The 15,960-nt window shown below is 49.8% G+C and overlaps 3 protein-coding genes and 1 non-coding gene across 8 annotated transcripts in view, besides 6 other annotated features; 3 read left to right on the top strand and 1 right to left on the bottom strand.

Annotated features, from left to right (window-relative positions):
• LPCAT3 (lysophosphatidylcholine acyltransferase 3) overlaps positions 1–5,102 on the top strand; it is a 42,292-nt gene extending 37,190 nt beyond the window's left edge. Inside the window, exons 6-13 of the mRNA NM_005768.6 lie at positions 105–283; positions 1,708–1,816; positions 2,598–2,684; positions 2,780–2,946; positions 3,542–3,689; positions 3,762–3,920; positions 4,025–4,153; positions 4,396–5,102. Coding sequence (NP_005759.4) covers positions 105–283; positions 1,708–1,816; positions 2,598–2,684; positions 2,780–2,946; positions 3,542–3,689; positions 3,762–3,920; positions 4,025–4,141 — 966 coding nt within the window. The 3' untranslated portion in view covers positions 4,142–4,153; positions 4,396–5,102. The remainder of the gene's footprint in view (positions 1–104; positions 284–1,707; positions 1,817–2,597; positions 2,685–2,779; positions 2,947–3,541; positions 3,690–3,761; positions 3,921–4,024; positions 4,154–4,395) is intronic.
• EMG1 (EMG1 N1-specific pseudouridine methyltransferase) overlaps positions 1–10,374 on the bottom strand; it is a 26,516-nt gene extending 16,142 nt beyond the window's left edge. The window contains exons 1-6 of one of the 3 annotated variants that reach the window (NM_006331.8): positions 10,196–10,374; positions 6,847–6,948; positions 6,594–6,735; positions 6,139–6,197; positions 5,909–6,058; positions 1,351–5,591 (exon numbers count right to left, since the gene is read on the bottom strand). In NM_006331.8, coding sequence (NP_006322.4) covers positions 5,478–5,591; positions 5,909–6,058; positions 6,139–6,197; positions 6,594–6,735; positions 6,847–6,948; positions 10,196–10,363 — 735 coding nt within the window. In that variant the 5' untranslated portion in view covers positions 10,364–10,374 and the 3' untranslated portion in view covers positions 1,351–5,477. Of the gene's footprint in view, positions 1–1,350; positions 5,592–5,908; positions 6,059–6,138; positions 6,198–6,593; positions 6,736–6,846; positions 6,949–10,195 lie in introns of those variants that run through there. The other 2 variants (NR_135131.2, NM_001320049.2) reach the window with 2 other exon arrangements.
• Positions 10,067–10,186: an enhancer, noted in NCBI's record as "active region_5913". NCBI's record gives its function as "activates an Ori minimal core promoter by ATAC-STARR-seq in GM12878 lymphoblastoid cells {active_cell/tissue: GM12878}" and the evidence as "EXISTENCE:reporter gene assay evidence [ECO:0000049][PMID:35858748]".
• Positions 10,067–10,699: a biological region, named in NCBI's record as "H3K27ac hESC enhancer GRCh37_chr12:7079751-7080352".
• Positions 10,097–10,699: an enhancer, noted in NCBI's record as "H3K27ac hESC enhancer chr12:7079751-7080352 (GRCh37/hg19 assembly coordinates)". NCBI's record gives its function as "activates a minimal SCP1, AML or CMV promoter by ChIP-STARR-seq in primed H9 embryonic stem cells {active_cell/tissue: H9 hESC(primed)}" and the evidence as "EXISTENCE:reporter gene assay evidence [ECO:0000049][PMID:30033119]".
• Positions 10,237–10,416: an enhancer, noted in NCBI's record as "active region_5912". NCBI's record gives its function as "activates an Ori minimal core promoter by ATAC-STARR-seq in GM12878 lymphoblastoid cells {active_cell/tissue: GM12878}" and the evidence as "EXISTENCE:reporter gene assay evidence [ECO:0000049][PMID:35858748]".
• Positions 10,507–10,576: an enhancer, noted in NCBI's record as "active region_5911". NCBI's record gives its function as "activates an Ori minimal core promoter by ATAC-STARR-seq in GM12878 lymphoblastoid cells {active_cell/tissue: GM12878}" and the evidence as "EXISTENCE:reporter gene assay evidence [ECO:0000049][PMID:35858748]".
• PHB2 (prohibitin 2) lies at positions 10,534–15,960 on the top strand. Of its 3 annotated transcripts, NM_001144831.2 has the most exons (10): positions 10,623–10,870; positions 11,007–11,091; positions 11,710–11,789; positions 12,692–12,876; positions 13,266–13,395; positions 13,508–13,611; positions 14,039–14,116; positions 14,787–14,863; positions 15,371–15,376; positions 15,575–15,960. In NM_001144831.2, exons 1-10 carry the CDS (start codon positions 10,744–10,746, stop codon positions 15,600–15,602), a joined length of 900 nt encoding a protein of 299 aa, NP_001138303.1. In that variant the 5' UTR covers positions 10,623–10,743; the 3' UTR covers positions 15,603–15,960. The 3 variants fall into 3 exon arrangements, with proteins under 3 accessions (NP_001254629.1, NP_001138303.1, XP_047284190.1); NM_001267700.1 differs by lacking the exon at positions 13,508–13,611 and having other exon boundaries at positions 10,534–10,870; positions 14,049–14,116; positions 15,575–15,935; XM_047428234.1 differs by lacking the exons at positions 13,508–13,611; positions 14,787–14,863; positions 15,371–15,376; positions 15,575–15,960 and having other exon boundaries at positions 13,952–14,040.
• Positions 13,681–13,950, top strand: SCARNA12 (small Cajal body-specific RNA 12). The gene has a single exon (NR_003010.1).
• Positions 13,724–14,224: an enhancer, noted in NCBI's record as "H3K4me1 hESC enhancer chr12:7076226-7076726 (GRCh37/hg19 assembly coordinates)". NCBI's record gives its function as "activates a minimal SCP1, AML or CMV promoter by ChIP-STARR-seq in naive H9 embryonic stem cells {active_cell/tissue: H9 hESC(naive)}" and the evidence as "EXISTENCE:reporter gene assay evidence [ECO:0000049][PMID:30033119]".

The following is a 15,960-nucleotide window of genomic DNA, read 5'->3' as shown; positions in this document are numbered from 1 at the left end:
TGAAGAACCCCAGTCAGTGGGGCACACAGGTGGGGAACACTCAAAGTGGCTCTTGTGGGGAGATTCAAGGCTATCCTGAACCATGCATTCTCTTCTTGGCATAGAATTCCTTGTCCTCTGAGCAACAGAAATATGCCATACGTGGTGTTCCTTCCCTGCTGGAAGTTGCTGGTTTCTCCTACTTCTATGGGGCCTTCTTGGTAGGGCCCCAGTTCTCAATGAATCACTACATGAAGCTGGTGCAGGGAGAGCTGATTGACATACCAGGAAAGATACCAAACAGGTAATTGCCCCTCTTGGTCCAGATGTTTGTGTAGGTATTTCACTCACTCTGAAGTGACTCTTCTGAAAGCTGCATTCTCCAGCATGACCCTGGCATAGAGACCTGAGTCATGCAGGCCCTGGACTGTTGTAACAGGCACTCTGTGCCAGGAGTGGGCCCTTTTTAGTTTAGGGTTCTTCCAGTTATCCATTCTAACACTAGTACAAACATAAAAATCCACATTTATGCCACAGGATTTTGCCTGAACCAGTCACATTTCTGCCTTTAAAGCCTATTTTCATGTATATATGAAATATATTTATGATTGATAGGTAGGTAGGCAGGTTGATAGGTAGGTAGGTAGATAGAGGCTGGGCACAGTGGTTTCACCTCTATAATCCCAGCACTTTGGGAGGCCGAGGTGGGAGGATCACTTGAGCCCGTGAGTTCTAGACCAGCCTGGCAACATAGAGAGACTCTGTCTCTACAAAAAAATACAAAAATTATCAGACATAGTGGCATGCATCTGTAGTCCAAGCTACATAGGAGGCTGAAGTGGGAGAATTGCTTGAGTCCAGGGGAGGTGGGTCAAGGCTGCAGTGAGCTTTGATCACACCACTGCACTCCATTCTGGGCAACATAGCAAAATCCTGTCTCAAAAATATTTATCAGTAGGAAATGCAGGAGGGCACAGTGGCTCATGCCTGTAATGCCAACGCTCTGGGAGGCCAAGGCAGGAGGATCACTGGAGGCCAGGAGTTCAAGACCAGCCTGGGCAACATAGTGAGACCCCATCTCTACAAAAAAAAATTATCCAGGCAAGGTGGTACATGCCTATAGTCCCAGCTACTCAGGTGGCCAAGGCAAGGGGATCGCTTGAGCCCAGGAGTTCAAGGCCACAGCGAGCAATGACTATGCCTCTGTACTCTAGCCGGAGTGGCAGAGCAAGGCCCTGACTCTAGAAAATAAAAATTAAAATGGTAAAAAAAAAAAAAAAAAAAAAGTTTAATTGCCAGAAGAATTCCTTCACTGAGAACTTGTCCATCCTGTGTTTCAGCATCAATTCAACCAAGAAATGAAGGAGCAGATTCAAAGTGGTTATTTTTATTATCTTACCTCCACTGGGTTTTCAGTCCCAATGGAGATTGTGAGACCTGGCAAGACCTTGAGATCAGTAGCATCCCTGAGGGGTAAACACAAGACTGGTCCACTGTCTGCTGCCCTGACTTTCCTACAACTCTTAAGAGGTTTGCAGTCCCCATTCCTCATAGCCAGCCATAGAAATCTTTCCCTGAAACAGGAAACACTTTGGGCAGCAGAGCTTCTCATCCCATTCCAGGTAGACAACCACACCCCTAAACACTCCTCTCCATAACTGAAGGTCAGAGGGTGAAGGGAATAGTCTCTGCTCTCTGTGACCAGGAACTTCACTCGTTCCTTTCCAGCATCATTCCTGCTCTCAAGCGCCTGAGTCTGGGCCTTTTCTACCTAGTGGGCTACACACTGCTCAGCCCCCACATCACAGAAGACTATCTCCTCACTGAAGACTATGACGTGAGTGTCTACTAAAGCAGCAGCAGCATGACTGCACCAGAGCTAGAAAATGGACAGGCAAGGATCCCTACAGATAGCAGAGAAGTAGGAAATATCATCTACAAGTGCATGTTGGTTTTGCTCTAGATCTGTGAGTTGTCAATGCCAGCCGTGCTGGGACATGTTCATCAGCCAGCACTGAACAACCTTCGCGGGCACAGGGCTGTGCCAGGTGCACATTTAGCACCCGTTGCCTTCTCTAGGAGCCGCTCCTAGCTTGCCTTATCACATCCACGTGACCCCTCAGAGCACAGCAGCTTCTGATTCTCCATCCTATTTTCTTCTCTTGACTGATACATTTGGGCACTTCTAGGGAATTCAGAAACCAAGGGAAGGGGGGAAGTGCTGGCTTTTGCTCCTGCCCAGCTGAAAGGCTTGAAAACAGTTCAGTAATTCTGGGCAGGTTTCTCTCCTTAAATTAAAATCCAATATGGGCCCCTCTGTACTTAACATTCCAAATGCTCATTCCAAACACTTTGCCAACGAAGGCAAACAGTAGAGAAGTTAAATACAGTGCTGCCCTTGAGGCTCTCCAAGGGAAAGGCGAATGAATATTCTCCAGGCCCTCTGCTTATTCCTCTCTGCCTATTGTGAAGGCAATCAGGCCAGACTATTGAGGGCATCTGGCAGCAGGACTCAGGCAGGTATGAAGTAGCCAGCCACAAGTGTGAAAAGGAAGAGTGCTGAGAGAAACTGCCTAGTCATGTGATATCCCTAATGCACTGTGCTTTCTTCCCTCAAGAACCACCCCTTCTGGTTCCGCTGCATGTACATGCTGATCTGGGGCAAGTTTGTGCTGTACAAATATGTCACCTGTTGGCTGGTCACAGTAAGTAGAAAAGTTGAAACAAGGTCCTATTTAGACAAGCCATGGGGGCCAGTATGGGGAGTGGCAAGAGCCCTAACTGAGCTATTCCCTCTCAGGAAGGAGTATGCATTTTGACGGGCCTGGGCTTCAATGGCTTTGAAGAAAAGGGCAAGGCAAAGTGGGATGCCTGTGCCAACATGAAGGTGTGGCTCTTTGAAACAAACCCCCGCTTCACTGGCACCATTGCCTCATTCAACATCAACACCAACGCCTGGGTGGCCCGGTGAGCTGCTGGTGGGGAGCCTGGACCCTGGTTCCTTCCTTCCACTGTCTTCCCAGATTGGAGGGCAGGGGTGTACCATGTCACCCCTATGCGTCTTTCCCATCTGGGCAGAACCCCCTGTCGCTCACACTGACTTTGACCCCCACCTATACCCCCCTCCCAAAAAAACCATTACTGTCATATTTGAAAAAAAGGCAAGATATAAAAGTGCGTTAAGACCTGGGTGTTACTCCAGCTCTGCCAATGGACTTATGTCCTCCACTGCCCTGTTTATCAACAGCTTTACTTGTTTGTCCCCACCACTAGAGTGTGGGCAGCTTGAGTAGAGTGTCTGGTTCACCACTGATCTCAGCATCAGCCTCAGTCACTGCTGCTGAACCAAGTGGCTCGTGCGCACACGGTCTCCAGCTCCGCCTTGGGTCTGCTTTCCATCTCTAAAAGTAATCAGTCAGCACTGCCTCCTGTACCCTCTGGGGGCTACACGTGGGAACCCACCAGCACTCCAATCCAATCCTCAGGGTGAGGACCCAGAGGCAGGTGGCGGGATGCAAGGACCAGTCAGTTTGAGGGTCGCCCCACCCACCCTTTTCTCCAGCTACATCTTCAAACGACTCAAGTTCCTTGGAAATAAAGAACTCTCTCAGGGTCTCTCGTTGCTATTCCTGGCCCTCTGGCACGGCCTGCACTCAGGATACCTGGTCTGCTTCCAGATGGAATTCCTCATTGTTATTGTGGAAAGACAGGTAGGCCTCCAGGGTGGGGGTGAAGGGGAATATAAGGGACAAGATGCTGATGAGCTCCTCCTCCCTCCCCAGGCTGCCAGGCTCATTCAAGAGAGCCCCACCCTGAGCAAGCTGGCCGCCATTACTGTCCTCCAGCCCTTCTACTATTTGGTGCAACAGACCATCCACTGGCTCTTCATGGGTTACTCCATGACTGCCTTCTGCCTCTTCACGTGGGACAAATGGCTTAAGGCAAGTGAAGGCCTGCTTGTGAGACTGGGAGGGACTCACTGCAACCTCAAAGGTTGCAAAGGACACTCCAGGCCTGTCTACCTTAGTGGCCTCTCTCTCCACAGGTGTATAAATCCATCTATTTCCTTGGCCACATCTTCTTCCTGAGCCTACTATTCATATTGCCTTATATTCACAAAGCAATGGTGCCAAGGAAAGAGAAGTTAAAGAAGATGGAATAATCCATTTCCCTGGTAAGTTAATACAGCTAAACTAAAACTACCACCAGGTTACAGAATAGAGCAACAGACTGGAAAAAAACAATAGTATTAGAAATCTGGGGTGAATTCCAAGGATTAGCCTGGCTACTAAGGAACACAGTATGGGCAATGACTACTGTGACTTATTGAGGCATGCTAGGAAACATCTGGAAGGGCTATAGACCAGGAATTACAGGAGTAACTAACCAGCCTTCCAAACTCCTCTTGTCTTGCAGGTGGCCTGTGCGGGACTGGTGCAGAAACTACTCGTCTCCCTTTTCACAGCACTCCTTTGCCCCAGAGCAGAGAATGGAAAAGCCAGGGAGGTGGAAGATCGATGCTTCCAGCTGTGCCTCTGCTGCCAGCCAAGTCTTCATTTGGGGCCAAAGGGGAAACTTTTTTTTGGAGAAGGCGTCTTGCTTTGTCACCCACGCTGGAATGCAGTGGCGGGATCTCAGCTCACCGCAACCTCCACCTCCTGGGTTCAAGTGATTTTCCTGCCTCAGCCTCCCAAGTAGCTGGGAATACAGGCACGCCACCATGCCCAGCTAATTTTTGTATTTTCAGTAGAAACGGGATTTCACCACGTTGGCCAGGCTGGTCTCGAACTCCTGACCGCAAGTGATCCACCCGCCTCCGCCTCCCAAAGTGCTGGGATTACAGGCGTGAGCCACCGTGCCCGGCCCAAAGGGGAAACTCTTGTGGGAGGAGCAGAGGGGCTCACATCTCCCCTCTGATTCCCCCATGCACATTGCCTTATCTCTCCCCATCTAGCCAGGAATCTATTGTGTTTTTCTTCTGCCAATTTACTATGATTGTGTATGTGCCGCTACCACCACCCCCCCCATGGGGGGGTGGAGAGGGGTGCAAGGCCCTGCCTGCTCCACTTTTTCTACCTTGGAACTGTATTAGATAAAATCACTTCTGTTTGTTCAGTTTTTCACCACTAGCATTCCTGACTGCTCTCTTTCACAGTTCTTCTCCATCATCAGGGTTCTCTCCTTTAGCACATGGGAATCTGGGAGCTAAAGCCTGCCTTCAAAGCATGGAACCAAACTGCAAACTCTGTAACCTCCTATCTGTCCCTGAAGTCCCGGGGAACAAACAGTTTTACACCACTGGATACTTTAGGAACCCCAAAACAACCAGGTTTGCAAGAACAGTATTCATAGGATAAACAAATAGCAAATGTACAGCCTTGGCTTCCCCAAACTCCACAGTCTCAGTGCAGAAAGATCATCTTCCAGCAGTCAGCTCAGACCAGGGTCAAAGGATGTGACATCAACAGTTTCTGGTTTCAGAACAGGTTCTACTACTGTCAAATGACCCCCCATACTTCCTCAAAGGCTGTGGTAAGTTTTGCACAGGTGAGGGCAGCAGAAAGGGGGTAGTTACTGATGGACACCATCTTCTCTGTATACTCCACACTGACCTAAGAAAAGAACAGTTTTGTCAGCCAACTCTGTCACTCAGTAGCTGTTTCAGCCCTTCTTTAGGGCAGGAAAACTATGGCTGAGCTAGTATTTCAGCTGTGCTGTTGAATATCAAATCCCTACAAAGGATGAAGAAGGTCCTAACTGTGACTTCCAATTATGGCAGCAGCCCTCAAAGGATGTGCCCTGGGGCAGGGTGTGGAACTGTCATGTGTCTTCTAGCTCATTGTAAGCATTGTTAAAATGCCTACTGCTCTGGGAATTCTATACTAAGTTCAGCTCTACCAAGAATTTCAGGGTTGAGCCCAGACCTTACCTTGCCATGGGCAAAGGCCCCTACCACAAAAACAATAGGATCACTGCTGGGCACCAGCTCACGCACATCACTGACAACCGGGATGGAAAAAGAAGTGCCAACTTTCATACATCCAACTGGAAAGTGATCTGATACTGGATTCTTAATTACCTAAAGTAAAAAAGAGAGAAAAGTCAGCCCCAGAAACATTCCCAGAACCAGCCTTCAACTAACAGGTTTCAATACCTCACCTTCAAAAGCTTCTGGGGGCCATCAGCTGCTCGAACACTGAGCTTGTGTAAAAGTTGAACTAGAAGGGGGAAAAAAGAGTTCAGAGCTAGATGGAGACCACAGTCCTTCTGTCCAGTCATCGAACAAGGAAAACCCCATGGATAAGATGAGTTCCCTGTGTGCTTTATATCTAGACTGGACTCCTGAAATGTTAGGAACAAACAGTTGCCAAGCATATGGCTAGCTGTACAGTGATGGGTTCAGACTCCCTCTTTCACTCAGCCAGGAAGCTACTGCAAGAACAGGAGTGGAGTTTCCACAAACATAGAAAAATAATAACAGTCCTTGTCCTGGTATTAATCATGTTGTTCTCCCATTTTCTCGCTTAAAAATCCACATTTAGTTCTCCCTTTTCCTCTTCCTCCCTTCTTCCCTACTGACAAGTTCATTCTAACTTTGTTCTAAGGCTTCTTACCCATGAGGCCACAAAAGCGGTCAAAGGTTCTGGGAATTCGGGTCTGGGGATTCACTTCAATCAGAACATTCTTCTGTGTATGGATATAAACCTGTAGCAAGCCAGCTCGGTTCAGGGGACTATCCATCAGCATCAGCAAACTCTGAGCAAAGCAGAAACCGAGACATGGTTAAGGCTGAAGAGAGGCAGCACTCAGCTGCCAACCCTTCCATACAGAGGCTCAAAGGGTTGTGAGCACTGTCCCTGGAGTTACCTGGTGGGTGATATCTGGCCGCGCTTCCCCAGGGTCCCGTCCATTCTTCAACAATATAGACTTGTGCTTGTCACAGTTGAGTAGCTCATATGTCTTCCCTACCTGAAGAACAGGGAACATGACGAGAGAACAGCATAAGCTTCTGTTACCTAGCCCCGTGGTTCTTCAAGTGTGGTCCCCAAACTACCAGCAGCAGCTGCACCTGGAAACTTGTTAGGCAAATTCTCAGGCCCACCCTAGACCTACTAAACCAGGAACACTGGGGGTGGAGCCCAGCAAGCCCTTCGGGGGATTACTGTGCAGCCTTATTTGCACTCCCCAGTGAATGGTCTGAGAGGGAAACAGGAGGAAGGGCACAACCTGTGACTTCACATTATCTACTAATACACTGGATTTAATTAAAAAACCTGTGGCTGTTAGGCAAGGCCAATGAGACATCCTGGAACTAGGCAGGAGTTAGTAGTTAGCAAGGCTGAATGCTGTGTTTATTACAGGAGCAGTAAGTAGGTACTGTGCAAAATATCGAGTCACCACCCTCAGTTTGCGTACACCAAACATGCACTAAGTGAAGAGCTGCAAATCTGAACAAGAAATGTGAAGGCCGGGCGTGGTGGCTCACGCCTGTAATCCCAGCACTTTGGGAGGCCGAGGCGGGCAGATCACAAGGTCAGGAGATTGAGACCATCGTGGCTAACACGGTGAAACCCCATCTCTACTAAAAATATAAAAAATTAGCCGGGCATGGTGGCAGGCGCCTGTAGTCCCAGCTACTTGGGAGGCAGAGGCAGGAGAATGGCATGAACCCAGGAGGCGGAGCTTGCAGCGCCACTGCACTCCAGCCCGGGCAACAGAGCGAGACTCCATCTCAAAAAAAAGAAATGTGAAAACTAATGATGCAGGAGGCAGTTTAATCAAAGAAAACTCTCAGAAGTAAAAGGAAGAGGGGTTATTCCCAGTTTTAAGACGGGCATGGGGGCAGATGCAGTGGCTCACGGCTGTAATCCCAGCACTCTGGGAGGCCAAGGCAGGCAAATCACTTAAGGTCAGGAGTTCAAGACCAGCCTGGGCAACATGGCGAAACCCCATCTCTACTAAAAATACAAAAATTAGCTGGGCATGGTGGCACATGCCTGTAGTCCTAGCTACTTGGGAGGCTAAGGTGGGAGGATGGCTTGAGCCCAGGAGACAGAGATTGCAGTGAGCCAAGACTGTACCACTGCACTCCAGCAAGACCCTGTCTCAAAAAAAAGAAAAAAGAAAGACTGGCATGAGCAAAGGTACAGATGGAATCAAGACAAAGTAGCCAGGTGTGGTGGCTTATGCCTGTGATCCCAACACTTTAGGAGGCCGAGGTGGAAGGATCACTTGAGCCCAGGAATTTGAGACCGGCCTGGGCAACACGGTGGGACCCTGTCTCACAAAAAAAAAAAAAAAAATTAGCCAGGCGCAGTGCCATTTGCTGGCAGTCCCAGTTACTCAGGAGGATGAGGTGGGAGGACTGCTTGAGCCAGGGAAGTAGAGGCTGCAGTGAACCATCACACCACTGCACTCTGTTGCCCAGGCAACAGAGCAAGACCCTATCTCAAAAAAGAAACAAAAAAGAAAAAGTGGAAACGAAGAAAGGAAATTTTGAGGAAAATTGGGAGCTGAGACACTAAAGGGCAGTGATTATATATGAAGCTGCTTTGTAAACCACAGAATCCTAATGTATCAAGCACAAAGCCAAAAATAATTCTGGAGTAAGCAGGGCAGGATGGGAATGACTGACAGACACTATCCTAACAACTCTCTGTACACTGGAAAAGACATCAGAAGTTTGATGTTAAAGAAGTGGACTACATCTGTAGCAGCTAAAAGAAATAATTCCAAGTTGCAATTTGGAGTCCCAAGGAGCATTAGGGTGGTCAGTAAAAAGTCTAAAAACAAACTGTTATATACAAATACAAGTTTTGGAAGGTTAAGTTTTTATGTATCACTGGAATGTATATGTCTAGCAACATTCTTGAGATATATGGCTCCAAAAAGTCTGCGAAAAAAGGGATGTAGATTTTGAAATTGAATAGTTGAAGTAATGTCACAGAGAGCACAAAGAACAAATGACCAAGAACTAAGTCCATGAGACACCCTTAGTTATAGAAGAAAAAAACCTTCTTGAATGAATAATACAGTTTCAACCCATTAGTAGGATATAATCATGTTTTCTATTCTTTTAATAGATTACAGGCGCAGGCCTGTAATCCCAGCTACTCTGGAGGCTGAGGCAGGAGAATCGATTGAACCCGGGAGGCGGAGGCTGCAGTGAGCCAAGATCGTGCCACTGCACTCCAGCCTGGTAGAGACTGAGACTCCATCTCAAAAAAAAAAAAAAAAAAAAGTGTATTTAGAACGAAGATTAAAATCCTGGCCTGACTTCTAAACCAATGCGATTTCTTCTGGGCCTATTCAATTAGTTCTAACGGGTAAGAGAAAGGAGGAGGAAGAACACTGCCCAAGGCTTTAAGATAGAGAACTGCTGGTTCTATTACATGTGGGGAAAGAGATGAATGATAGATAAAAATGCAGATGTAAAAGTTTTAAATAATAACCAGGTCTGGACAGTGTATCATAGGTGGATATTAGAGAGAGGTGACTATGGATACTAATGAATTGAAACACGAAGCCCTTACAAAAAGTGTGGGCAGACTAGGCTACATAACTACGTTTCTCATCTGCCCAGTAACTTGTCTTGGGATGTGGAATGACGCAAGGAACGAAACTTTCCTCTGCTTAGACTACTATACCACAGAATCCTGGTAAACCAATTGGAAGCAAGGAGGTGAGGGCTAGAATATCATTCAAAAAGAGCAAAAGAAAATGAGTACTACCGGCCGGGCACAGTGGCTCACGCCTCTAATCCCAACACTTTGGGAGGCCGAGGCGGGCGGATCACTTGAGGTCAGGAGTTCGAGACCAGCGTGGCCAACATGGTGAAACCCCATCTGAACTAAAAATACAAAAAAATTAGCCGGGCGTGGTGGCACCTGCCTGTAGTCCCAGCTACTCCAGAGGCTGAGTCAGGAGAACTGTTTGAAGGCGGGAGGCAGAAGTTGCAGTGAGCCGAGGTCGCGCAACTGCACTCCAGCCTGGGCGACAGAGCGAGACTCCGTCTCAAAAAAAAAAAAAAAAAGAAAGAAAAATGAGTACTACCATCCCAGGATGTCAAATCAACGCAAAGCCAACCAAGCCACCTTCCTTCAAAAGCATCTTTCACCCCTCTCTGCTTTCTACATCCACTCTGGGCCCCTTACCCTCATTCCACGGAGTCCCAACCTATCGATTTACTACTTCTCCACTTCCTGTCCCAAACTACCTTGACTGTCTCCAGACTGGCCCCTTCCAGCACCACAATAAGCCTACGGCCTCCGATCTTGTTTCCTGCCCCTAGTCGGGGCCGCTTGGGTGGCAGAGCATCCCAGTCCTGTGCCTGCTCCCCACCGCTTCGTTCACGAGGCTTGAATCCATCACTGGGCGCGGCCATCTTGCAACAATACCGGAAGTTGCGCTAACGCTCTTAAATAAGAACAGCGCGGCTTCTAATCACAAATTTCCTTCCGGCTGCCATTTTGAAAGTGGGCCAGGAAATGGAGATGACTTGCTGTCTTGCGCTGCCCTCCCTGGGAGGGCAGCCTTCCAGAAAGGGGCGGGACTTCCGTATGCGCGATTCCTGTGCGCGAAGTTCGGGTCCGTAGTGGGCTAAGGGGGAGGGTTTCAAAGGGAGCGCACTTCCGCTGCCCTTTCTTTCGCCAGCCTTACGGGCCCGAACCCTCGTGTGAAGGGTGCAGTACCTAAGCCGGAGCGGGGTAGAGGCGGGCCGGCACCCCCTTCTGACCTCCAGTGCCGCCGGCCTCAAGATCAGACATGGCCCAGAACTTGAAGGACTTGGCGGGACGGCTGCCCGCCGGGCCCCGGGGCATGGGCACGGCCCTGAAGCTGTTGCTGGGGGCCGGCGCCGTGGCCTACGGTGTGCGCGAATCTGTGTTCACCGGTGAGCAACCTCCGCCTGCTCGCCGGACGCTTCCAGTCCCTCCCCCAAACCCCTTGCCCTGTCCCCGCGCCCCTCCACGGGCCTAGCATTTCCTCTGAGCAGCGGCCTGGCCTGATCACCACCCATCTCCCCACAGTGGAAGGCGGGCACAGAGCCATCTTCTTCAATCGGATCGGTGGAGTGCAGCAGGACACTATCCTGGCCGAGGGCCTTCACTTCAGGTAATGGCGGGCAGAGCCTGCTGACCCTGACCTTTCACCCTTGACGCCGACCCAGCAGTGGCTATAGTCGGACGTGCAACAGGATTCAACGCTGCTCTTTTCCCACCCTCCTCATCCCTGCCCCTAGGATAGTGGGTGCTGCGAGAACCTCCAGCAGCATACAAACTGTTGTTTTCCAGAGGGACAAGAGAATCTCTCCTTGTCTGTGGTCGTGGAGAGGAGCAGGCCAAAAAACGCGTGGTGAGGGGAAACCGGGCAAGGCTAGTGAAACTGCGGCCTTTTCTTTTTTTTTTTTTGGAGAGGGAGTCTTGCTCTGTCGCCCAGGCTGGAGTGCAGTGGCGCGATCTCGGCTCACTGCAACCTCCGCCTCCTGATTTCAAGCGATTCTCCTGCCTCAGCCTCACGAGTAGCTGGGATTACAGGCGCCCGCCACCACGCCCGGCTAATTTTTGTATTTTAGTAGAGACGGGGTTTCACTATGTAGATCAAGCTGGTCTCGAACTCCTGACCTCAAATGATCCGCCCGCCTCGGCCTCCCAAAGTGCTGGGATTACAGGCGTGAGCCACCGCGCCCGGCCGAAACTGTGGCCTCTTAATACCTATCCCTGTCCTCTCCAGGATCCCTTGGTTCCAGTACCCCATTATCTATGACATTCGGGCCAGACCTCGAAAAATCTCCTCCCCTACAGGCTCCAAAGGTAGGTCTGAGCACTTGGTAATCACATGGCAGGTGGGATGATCAAGGTAGCTGGCAAGAAACCCCAGGGGAATATGGTAGTGTCAGGCCTTTAGGCCTCTTTCCACATCTGCAAGAGCTGTAACAAAAATACCTGCCTCCTGGGGTCAAAGCAGCAAATTCTGAACACACTGTGTTTGCGTGCTTTTTACTGTCTCCTCCCTGACGTGTATTCAATAAGAGTATTGTTTGTCCCTCGTCTTGTTCACTGCCTAGATCAAAGCTTTGTTTTAAAGCCTTTTTTTTCTAACTGCTTGACTTACTATATCTACAGTTACATCCACTAGTACACTCTGTTCTGGAGAAGTTTGTCCCTAAGCTTGACTAGTTCACCTGTTCTCTCCTTCTAGACCATACATAAAAGCCGTGCCTTTGAGTTCCCCAGACCTCTTCCTCCTCCCCACCCACGCACACATATACACCCTGGGTCAGGTAGCTCACCTGTAACCTGTAATGTACTTCTTTGTGCTATACCTAGTGCAGGTCGCTTATTCATTTACTAGACTGGGCCCTGGGAATAAAAGATTCATTAAACACAATTCTTGTCCCCCAAGTCCTTACAGGAGACATGATTACGGTACAGCACGAAAGCGCCCACGTTAGAGGTTGCACAGAGTACAGAGGGGGAAAGAGTAGTCAGCTCTGCTGGTGACGGGGTTTGCAGTTCAAGGCTTCACAGTGGGTGAGGGTGCATTTCAGCTGTGCTGCGTCTTGTCTTCCTTGTCAGCCTGATTAACTCTCCTCCCCCCAGGGTAGTGCCAGGCTGTACACCATTGCACAGGGCATACAGGGAGGAACATGAAGGAGAAAATGCTTGGGAAAGGGTGTTTGGCCTTGACCAGCCACTGCTGACCTCAATCTCAGACCTACAGATGGTGAATATCTCCCTGCGAGTGTTGTCTCGACCCAATGCTCAGGAGCTTCCTAGCATGTACCAGCGCCTAGGGCTGGACTACGAGGAACGAGTGTTGCCGTCCATTGTCAACGAGGTGCTCAAGAGTGTGGTGGCCAAGTTCAATGCCTCACAGCTGATCACCCAGCGGGCCCAGGTCTGACTCCCACCACCATCTGCGTGGTGTCAGCCTTTCCTTCCTAGGCCCAGAGTATTGGGAATTAGGAAAGGCAGCTTATTAGAAAAGCATTGTCACCCTAGTGCCATTTCCACCTAAAAGCTGTGCTAATTGCCACTGTGAAATAAGGAGAGCCAGCATTAGAACTCGATAGCACTCGGTGTTAGGAAGCACAGAGGAAAATGGCCAAGTCTTGGCTTTTCCTGCACCTCTTCGAGCAGAGAGGCTTATGTTACAGGTTTGCCTGACAGGAAGCTAAGGCAGTGCATGTTGTATTGAGAGTGAAGGGTTAGGGGTCGCAACCTTCCTTTCAGCTCCCCAGTCCCCTCAAACCACCCCTCCCTTCCCCTCTTCACCCCTGCCCTCAGGTATCCCTGTTGATCCGCCGGGAGCTGACAGAGAGGGCCAAGGACTTCAGCCTCATCCTGGATGATGTGGCCATCACAGAGCTGAGCTTTAGCCGAGAGTACACAGCTGCTGTAGAAGCCAAACAAGTGGGTGAGTCGCAAGAGCCGTGGGGTGAGGGCTTCTGAGATGCAGGAGGAGGAAAGACTCCATGGGTGGGGCTCCTGACCCAGGACAGGGTCTCCCTGACTCTCTCCCACCACAGCCCAGCAGGAGGCCCAGCGGGCCCAATTCTTGGTAGAAAAAGCAAAGCAGGAACAGCGGCAGAAAATTGTGCAGGCCGAGGGTGAGGCCGAGGCTGCCAAGATGATATCCTTCTGCTGGAGAGATCTCAGCCCAGCCCCTAGGGCACCTGAGTTCCCCATTCTCCTTCATGGGCAGGCTGATGAGACTAAGGCGAATGCGACTCCGTGCTCTCTGGCCCTTGGCTCCTTGTTGGGGGTGGGGACTACAGATGAGATCTGAAATCTTAGTGGTAGTACCTGAGCCATGACTCCCCACTGTAAGGCCAGATCAATAGCATTGGTGGCCTTGCCTTCATTTCTGGTGCTGCCCCTAGTTCCTGGCAGCAGCCTGCAGGGAGGCCCACAGGTGGGGTCCACGGTAGGGCTGGGCACAAGCCACCTGAGCGCAACCTTGGATCTGACAGCCCAGAGGAGGACTGGAGCAAGGGAGTGTGGTAAGGACAGGGCCAGGGATTGAGACCTGCCCTTGCGTGTACCTTAACCCTCCTCACCTTGGAGAAGCACTGAGCAAGAACCCTGGCTACATCAAACTTCGCAAGATTCGAGCAGCCCAGAATATCTCCAAGACGGTGAGTGTGTCAGCCCAGCGTCTCTGATGGGGCTGCCTTGAGAAAGTGCTTTCAGTTAAGGCACATTGAGGTGAGGGAATTCGAACCTTGCTTGTTCCGGTTTCTACTCAGATTGGCTTCTCTGGCCGGCGCGGTGGCTCACGCATGTAATCCCCGCACTTTGGGAGGCCAAGGTGGGTGGATCACCTGAGGTCAGGAGTTCGAGACCAGCCTGGCCAACATGGTGAAACCCCATCTCTACTAAAAATACAAAAGATAATGAGCCCGCTGTGGTGGCGTTTAGCTATATTCCCAGCTACGCAGGAGGCTGAGGCAGGAGAATCACTTGAACCCAGGAGGCGGAAGTTGCAGTGAGCTGAGATCATGCCACTGCACTCCAGCCTGAGCAACAGAGCAAGACTCCGTCTCAAAAATAAATAAATAAAAAATTGGCTTCTCCGATACTCCTCCTGTCAAGAATGATTCCTCTGGGTTCCCTGACCTTTTGTTCTAATCATAGCTGCTGCTCAGCGCTCTGGATCCCTAAGTGCGAGCAGAAACCATGTGTTACTCATTGCTGCACCCCTGCCCTAATCTGCATGTGTTCCATGTTAAGTAGCTGCTGAATTGCAGGGGTCGGAATTGAGGTCTTTGCTTAATGCAAGCATCTGTCTTATTTCCTGCCCTGTAGATCGCCACATCACAGAATCGTATCTATCTCACAGCTGACAACCTTGTGCTGAACCTACAGGATGAAAGTTTCACCAGGTGAGAGATGTGGCCACACTGTGGGGTATCACCAAGAACGTGGGACCTGAGTCTGGTTGTTTGGGCTCTGGAGCCTGCTACAGCTATTCATATGGCTCAGAGACATTGAACCAAAATTAGAAAAGGGGGTGGTTGACAGTTTCTATCTTGCATCTCATAGGATTGATTTTATGAGATCAAATAGGATTATTCACATAAAAAGCACTTTAATTATAAAGTTTTCATCTAACCAAAAAGTGATGAAAGATGATACTCAGTTTTCTTACTCAAGAGCCCTCAAACTCCTCTGGTGAATGGAGGGATGTTAGGAAAGGAGATGAGAAATAGCAGTGGCCATGAGAACATGCCTCCTCCTTTCATGAGCCTGAGATTCCTGGCTGTCAACCCTGTTTATCTTTTCTCTTGGGAGCAAAGGAGGGTTCAAAGCTGAGTGGGGCCTGAAGCTGTCAATTAACATGTGCATTTCTCTTCTCTGTTTCTTGTTCATCTGGCGATCTGGCACCACAGGGGAAGGTAAGCTGTTGTTGCTTCTGTGGGGTCCTGCAGGCCACCTTCTCCAGTACCCGCCTCCTACCCTACCCCCTTTCCCACCTCCCCGAAGACAAACCCTCAATCAGGGTAGGAGGGTCGTAGAGGGAATGGCCTAGAGTGTCCTGCCTCTCACATTTATGTCCCCTAATAATGTCATTATCTATCTTTTTTTTCCTACAGTGACAGCCTCATCAAGGGTAAGAAATGAGCCTAGTCACCAAGAACTCCACCCCCAGAGGAAGTGGATCTGCTTCTCCAGTTTTTGAGGAGCCAGCCAGGGGTCCAGCACAGCCCTACCCCGCCCCAGTATCATGCGATGGTCCCCCACACCGGTTCCCTGAACCCCTCTTGGATTAAGGAAGACTGAAGACTAGCCCCTTTTCTGGGGAATTACTTTCCTCCTCCCTGTGTTAACTGGGGCTGTTGGGGACAGTGCGTGATTTCTCAGTGATTTCCTACAGTGTTGTTCCCTCCCTCAAGGCTGGGAGGAGATAAACACCAACCCAGGAATTCTCAATAAATTTTTATTACTTAACCTGAAGTCAAGGCTTCACGTGTTCATGAAC

This window comes from Homo sapiens, chromosome 12, assembly GCF_000001405.40.
Source record: "Homo sapiens chromosome 12, GRCh38.p14 Primary Assembly".
Classification (NCBI taxonomy): domain Eukaryota; kingdom Metazoa; phylum Chordata; class Mammalia; order Primates; family Hominidae; genus Homo; species Homo sapiens.
Note: the sequence above shows the minus strand (reverse complement) of the source record. Positions and strands in the feature narration are given on the sequence as shown.

Excerpts from the sequence above, each read along its gene's own strand:
- PHB2 (NM_001144831.2), top strand. The coding sequence starts at position 10,744 with ATGGCCCAGAACTTGAAGGACTTGGCGGGACGGCTGCCCGCCGGGCCC. Across the intron at positions 11,790-12,691 it reads CTCCCCTACAGGCTCCAAAG|ACCTACAGATGGTGAATATC; the intron begins GTAGGTCTGAGC and ends CCTCAATCTCAG. Across the intron at positions 13,612-14,038 it reads AGGCCGAGGCTGCCAAGATG|CTTGGAGAAGCACTGAGCAA; the intron begins ATATCCTTCTGC and ends AACCCTCCTCAC.